The sequence below is a fragment of the Homo sapiens genome, chromosome 19 (genome assembly GCF_000001405.40).
Source record: "Homo sapiens chromosome 19, GRCh38.p14 Primary Assembly".
In the NCBI taxonomy this organism is placed as follows: domain Eukaryota; kingdom Metazoa; phylum Chordata; class Mammalia; order Primates; family Hominidae; genus Homo; species Homo sapiens.
Window position 1 is genome coordinate 42,572,117 of NC_000019.10, and position 7,451 is coordinate 42,579,567.

General features: G+C 41.4%; 1 long non-coding RNA gene across 2 annotated transcripts in view; it reads left to right on the forward strand.

Annotated features, from left to right (window-relative positions):
- LIPE-AS1 (LIPE antisense RNA 1) overlaps positions 1 to 7,451 on the forward strand; it is a 255,208-nt gene that overhangs the window by 174,969 nt on the left and 72,788 nt on the right. The gene's annotated exons all lie outside the window — the stretch shown is intronic.

The following is a 7,451-nucleotide window of genomic DNA, read 5'->3' on the forward strand; positions in this document are numbered from 1 at the left end:
TCCGCTCACTGCAAGCTCTGCCTCCCAGGTTCACGCCGTTCTCCTGCCTCAGCCTCCTGAATAGCTGGGACTACAGGTGCCTGCCACCATGCCCAGCTAATTTTTTTGTATTTTTAGTAGAGACGGGGTTTCACTGTGTTAGCCAGGATGGTCTCAATCTCTTGACCTCATGATCCACCCACCTCAGCCTCCCAAAGTGTTGGGATTACAGGCGTGAGCCACTGCGCCCGGCCTTAGCCCCACTTATAAGTGAGAACATGCAGTATTTGTTTTTCTGTTTCTGCGTTAGTTTGCTGAGCATAATGTCCTCTAGCTCCACCAATGTTCCTGCAAAAGAGATGATCACATTATTTTTTATGGCTGCATAGTATTCTGTGGTGTATATGTACCACATTTTAAAAATGCAGTTTTCCATTGAGAGGCATTTCGGTTGATTCTATGTCTTCTCTATTGTGAACAGTGCTGCAGTGAACATTCATGTGCATGTGTCTTTATGATAGAATGATTTATATTCCTCTGGGTATATACCCAGTAATGAGATTGCTGGGTCAAATGGTAGTTCTGTTTTTAGCTCTTTGAGGAATTGCCATACTGCTTTCCACAATGATTGAACTAATAATTGACACTCCCACCAACAGTGTATAAGCACCCCCTTTTCTCCACAACCTTGCCAGCATGTTACTTTTTTTTGACATTTTTGATAATAGCCATTCTGACGGGTATGAGATGGTATCTCACTGTAGTTTTGATTTGCATTTCTCTAATGATCAGTGATAGTGAGCTTTCTTTCCTATGCTGTTGGCCACATGTATGTCTTCTTTTGAAAAGTGTCTGTTCGCCAGGCAGAGTGGCTCACACCTGTAATCCTAGCACTTTGGGAGGCTGACGTGGGTGGATCACTTGAGGTCAGGAGTTCAAAACCAGCCTGGTCAATATGGTGAAACTCTTTCTCTACTAAAAATACAAAAAAATTAGTTGGGTGTGGTGGTGGGCACCTGTAATCCCAGCTACTTGGGAGGCTGAAGCAGGAGAATTTCTTGAACTCGGGAGGCGGAGGTTGCAGTGAGCCGAGATTGCACCACTGCACTAAAAAAAAAAAAATGTGTTCATGTCCTTTGCCCACTTTTTAGTGGGAATTTTTTTTTCTTGTAAATTTGTTTAAGTTCCCTGTAGATGCTGGATATTACATTTTAGTCAGATGCATAGTTTGCAAATATGTTTTCCCACTCTGTAAGTTGTCTGTTTACTCTGTTGATAGTGTCTTTTGCTGGAAGCATGAGTTTTGGATTCAGAAATATGAGTCTGAGTCCTAGTTCCACCTTTTATCAGGTGAGATAAGGGACAAGTTAATTGATGTCTTGGAATAGAGGGATAATAGTGCCTATTTAAAGGGTCATTGTGAGCATTGGATGAGGTACAAACATAAAGGTCCCCAGCAGGTAGCAGATTACTTCCTCTTCATTCCTGTAGCTCAGTGGTTCCAAAGGTATTGCGGGTGGTGTGAACTTTCTTATCAAAATTTTCTATAGATCCTTCAACTAAGATAGCCTTGAACTGAACTGAATGCTTAGGACTTTAAGAAGTTCAACTGACGTTTGGATTTTTGTGAAAACAACTCAGTAAATAAGTTATCTATCAATAGAGGAATGTAACCCAACAGAGGAAGAAGGGAATGACAATGGGATTGTAAATGGGAGAAAGCTGTGATGCCTTCCACACCCATCCCTTTGTTCTCAGTCAGACAATATCAAGGAAGTACAACTTCTAAAATTATGTAAAGGAAAATAAACACCTCAGGACTGCCAAACTCATTACACCAAAGGGATACTTCAGCCTGGAGATTGAGTCATGCAAGACCACCATTTTTTCCCCAAATGAACAACTGTTACTTTACAACCTTGTGTCAAAGCATTGTACATTAGCCAGAGCCCCAGGAGAAGATGAAAAGGCCCTAGGCATATCTGGATGACCTCCCTCACAAATTGTTTTTTTGCTGTCCTCGAACCACATTTGAAGTATATTTGTGGAACAGACTCTTACAAGTACTCTTAAATGTTGGCTTCTCATAACTGTGGAGCTCATGTCACTGGACTAGGAAAAAAAACCCAGGACTTTAGTTAAAAAAAATGCATTCATGATGATTGCTAACCCAACATCAAGCAGAACAAGAGTTAATTACATGAGGATAAATTGATACAGGACTAAAATGATTTTTTCATGACCTTTTTTTTAAAAAAAAACATTGCTGACTTTTTTTATGTTTTGTTCTCCAGAGTCAAAAAAGCTTTTTTTTTTTTTCTTTTGAGCTTTTTAGCTTACAACAAATTGGGTAAAGTATAATTTTGTGAGCTAAATTTGAAAGATTTATCTTTCTCTCTACCCAATTTCTACAAAAATAAACTATTTGTGCATATTCTTAATTTATGGCAATATAGATATTTGCATAAATTCCATAAGAATTTGTTTTCTTTTATAACAGGACACAATTGGAGACATTGGTTATTTTATAGAGGCTTTGAGTGAAATGGTATATTTTCAGATATGACCAGAATGCTTTGAGGAATTGAGATTGACTTTATAGAACTGACAAAAAGCCTCTTGGACAGACTGACCTGGTTACCTTGTCTATGCAGTTTCTATAAAAAGTTAATGATCTGTGGTAAGTAAAGAATGTCACTTTCTGATAGGCCCAGGAACCCCCAAGTTATTTTGAGACCTCAAGAAAAGAGGAATTCACCAAATTCATGCAGGTATCTACAGGCACAGATAAATTACTGGCTTGCATAGCCTTGAGATGCTTTTGGAAGTCTAATCTGAGATTCCTTATGAAAAAAAGTCTCAGCAAAGCCAATTTAAAAAGACTCTCTATGGCCAACCACTATTCTTGCCATACTTTATGCAAATAATCAGGCCAGGTATAAGACTAAAACTTATTTAGCAAATACATTTGTCCTGCTATGATTTGTCTTTCATAAAAATGGGAGCCTGGAGAGAGAAAAATTTGTGTTTCAAAAGAAAACTTCAATACAACTGTTATTAAATTCTAGGCTTGTTCATTATTTTTGAGTTTTATTATTTGCCTATAATTTGGACTGAATCCTAAATTCTTTCCTGGCTATAAATATCAAAAGTAATGATTTCAAGATTTTCTTCCATTTTGGAATGTTAGAAATTAAAACTGTGCTTTTCTTCAAGCCCTGCAAACTGAAACTAGACAAGTTAAGTGAACTTTTGGAGAAGTCACAGCAACTTATATATAAACAACTTTTGTGCCCGTTGATGCATGGACTACACGAAAGGGTCACACGAATACTGGATTTGTACTGAAATTCAGAGAAATCTGTGAGATTGTCACTGCAGTTAGATGATTCAGAGACTCTAGAAAAATGAGTCTATAGGCTGGGCGTGGTGGCTCACGCCTGTAATCCCAGCACTTTGGGAGGCTGAAGTGGGTGGATCACGAGGTCAGGAGATCGAGACCATCCTGGCTAACACGGTGAAACCCCGTCTCTATTAAAAAATACAAAAAATTAGCTGGGTGTGGTGGCGGGAGCCTGTAGTCCCAGCTACTCGGGAGGTTGAGGCAGGAGAATGGCGTGAACCTGGGAGGCGGAACTTGCAGTGAGCTGAGATCGCGCCACTGCACTCCAGCCTGGGCAACAGAGCCAGACTCTGTCTCAAAAAAAAAAAAAAAAAAAAAAAAAAGAAAAAGAAAAATGAGTCTATAGACTGCTGTAGACATTAGAGGTGAGCCAACATGCAACTGAAAGTGTTAGTGATCATGGCCCAAAGAATTGCTCTAATTGAGGAGGCAGTTGTGTATCCTCAGTTGGATTCCAGGATTATACTTTGTTGTTGTTGTTGTTGCTGTAATTAGTCCTTGGTCCTTTTCTGATTTGACTTCACCCCCTTTTCCATGGGAGATGACTTCCTAGGAATGAGCCTTCATAGTGATGTAAGATCAGATGAAACATAGCCACAAAGTCATGTATTTAACAGTAATTTCTCTGAAAGATATAGAAGAATGTTGGAGGTGGGCAGGTGTGGTGGCACAGGCCTGTAATTTCACATTTTGAAAGGCCAAGGTGGAAGGATCGCTTGAAGCCAGGAGTTCAAGACTAGCCTGAGCAACAAAATGAGACCACATCTCTACAAAAAATAAACTAAAATAAATTAGCTGGGTGCAGTGGTGCATGCCTGTAGTCTCAGCTATTCAGGAGGCTGATGTGGGAGGACCTCCTGAGCCCAGGAGTTCCAGGCTGCAGTGAGCTACAATCATGTCACTATACCCTAGCCTGGGTGACAGAGCAAGACCTTGCTTCTTAAAAAAAAAGTGGGAGGCGGGGTTGGGGCAACAGGAAGGCAAAAAGCCTCAGGGATCTCCAGATGACTGCCCTCTAAATAGTTCTTTGCTGGCCTCAAAATCTTTCAAGATGTATAGCGTTTCATAAAACAAGGCATGTCAATTATAACTTCAGGTGTGCAATCAAAATCTAGCTCCTAAAACTAAAGCCTGTTAAGTTTTATTCTGATAATATTTATCTTCCCAGGCACAGAACAAAGGCAAAATGAGATCAATTATTCTTCCACCTATCCCATCTCTTTCTACCTGTCTTCCCCCCTGTAAGGAAATATATAAATACTAAGCCTTCTGCAACCTCTTCAGAGAGAACACACCCACAGAGGTTTTCTGTGATTCATGTTTTCCCAGGGTGCACCCTCAAGCTCTGGCTCAATAAACCTTAACTGGTCAAGACCCTTGCCTCAGTCAATCATTCTGGATGACCACCATGAGTCTTGCACAGGCCTTCACTGATCCCTTTGCTGCCCAGGTGATGTGTACCTAGGTGAATCAGGTCCCCACGAGTCAAACACTCTTCTCCCTTTCTGCCTCCTCTACCTCCCTCTCCTCATTCAGTGCCGTGTGCCCTGGTCTGGCCCCAGCTCCAGGCCATTAGTATTAGCCTAAGAAGGCAAGGCCAGGATGAACAGGCTGAGAAGGAAATCAGAGGCCAACAGGCATGAAAAGAGGCAGATGGGACTGTCATTTCTCAGAGCCACCCACTCTGGGTGTGTTTTATGACTGCTACTGGATTTGGAATCTTTTCCTCTTTGTGGCCATAATGGGAACTCACCCTTCTCCTACTTCCTTCCCATTACACTTTCTATTCATAGGGAACTCCTTTTATGACCAGAGAAAGGCTGTAAAAATAGTTGACAATTGAGTAAAACTGACTTTATAATGACTGGGAACCTGGCTCTGTTTTTTTCCAAAAGAGACTGAGATTCCTCAAAGCTAGCTTTTATGCAGGGCTGTGCAGTTGTGAGTGTAGCATTAGGGAACAGGTACATAAGTGAAGGGTGAGACAGAAAACAAAATGCTGGCTCTTTGTCAAATCCTGAAAGTAGAGGGGGCAAAAATCATTCTGGAAGGTGTATGTCATTCAGGAGACCTTGGAAATCTCAGGGTATCCTCTTCCCAGATGAAGTGGAGGATGAGGTTAAATTATGGAGTTGGGTGTGTGATACTGGGTACATTACTTCTCTGCCTCGTTTTTTTTTTGTTGTTTTTTTGTTTTTTTTGATGGAGTCTCACTCTGTTGCCCAGGCTGGAGTGCAGTGGCACGATCTTGGCTCACTGCAAGCTCTGCCTCCAGGGTTCACGCCATTCTCCTGCCTCAGCCTCCCGAATAGCTGGGACTATAGGTGCCTGCCACCACGCCCGGCTATTTTTTTTGTATTTTTAGTAGAGATGGGGTTTTACGATGTTGGCCAGGATAGTCTTGAACTTCTGACCTTGTGATCCACCTGCCTCAGCCTCCCAGAGTTCTGGGATTACAGTTGTGAGCCACCGTGCCCAGCCTGCCTCATTTTTTTAATCTGTAAAAATGGGGATAACATCCAGGAATTTTTGTGAAGATGTTAACTACATGGAAAGATCTTAGGATAGTTCCTGGCACATACTGAGTTTTAAGTCAGTGCAAACTATTATGATTATGGGAATAGGAAAAGGTGCCACCCTGGACGTGTAGGATGAGGGGGTATTTTCTAGCCAGGGTCCTAGCAGGCCAACCGGAGATGAAGATGGTTAAGCAGAAGCAGCTTAACTTCAGGAGTGGAAGGATTGGGGAGCAGTAGCTCATGCACAAGATTCTGTGAAAATGCCTTTACCTAACAGCAGAAATACCCAGAATGGGTGTGGCTTCTGTCACAATTATTGTCTAAAAATGTGTCGTAGACTCAAATGGCGTTGATGTAAGCCAAGTACAGAAAAGGGCTTCAGGGCTGCCTTGCACATAGCATTCATCTTGTCAAAGGAAAACATTCATCTTGTTAAAGGAAAACATTCATTTTGCTAAAGGAATCCCCACTTGTAGCCCTGGTTATTATTTTTGTCTCAGTACTATTCTTGTTTATAGTTTGTAAAGAGAAAGACTGAAGAAGTGTGAAATACGGAAGTGCATGTATGAATTAACAGGGCAGAATTGGGACTGGTATGCGTAAGTTAAGAGAAAGTGCATATAAATTTATGTGAACATAAAGAGGACTTCTTGTTTTAAGCAGACCTCTTTGTATAAAAAATGTGGGCTGTCTTGAGTGGATGGCAGACTCTATCACAAGAACATTCTAGCAGAGTCACGAGAGAATGGGGAGCATGACTTCTTTCTAAATGGCAAGTTAAGAGTATGTAAGTCGATGAAGAGAGAGGAGATGAAGGAGAAGATGGGTGAGGATGAGAGAAATGGGATAGAGAAAAGAACAGACTGAAAGGAATGTTTACCAAGTGCTCATCAGGTACCAGCCTCTGTGTCTAATACCTTACACATCTTAATTTACTCTTTGACTGTCATTTTCTGATAACAGTAAGAGTCATCTTTGTGCTGCAGATGAGAAAACGCTGTAGGAGGTGAAGTGAGTGGTCCAGGATCATCCAGCCAGTTCATAGCAGAGCTGGTGTGTTTCACCTCAAAGTTTGTGCTCTTGCCTGTGATTCACACAAAACAATGAGATATAGAAAGAAGGCAAATGAAATTTTTGTTGTGGGTGATGTTTATGGAAGTTACCAGTGTTAGGCAGAATAATGGCCTCCCCAAAATGTCCACATCCTTATCCATGGAACCTGTGCATGTTACTTTATTTGGCAAAAAGACTTCACTCTTGAGATGGGGAGGTTATTCTGGATAATCTAGGGTGGCCCAGTGTAATCAGAAGGGTCCTTGTAAGTGAAAGAGTGAGGCAGGAAGGTCAGGGTGAAAATGCTGCAGTCTGAGACTCCACTAACCATTGCTGGCTGTGAACATGCATCAGAAGACAAAATTTCAACTAATGTAGTTATAGATCTGATTGGCTTTTAATTGTGATTCAGGGTTTGGGGCAGCTCTCACTCTACACATACAGTGATAGCTCCCCCTGGGCAACATAATAACAGAGCAATGGGTTTTGTCAAATTG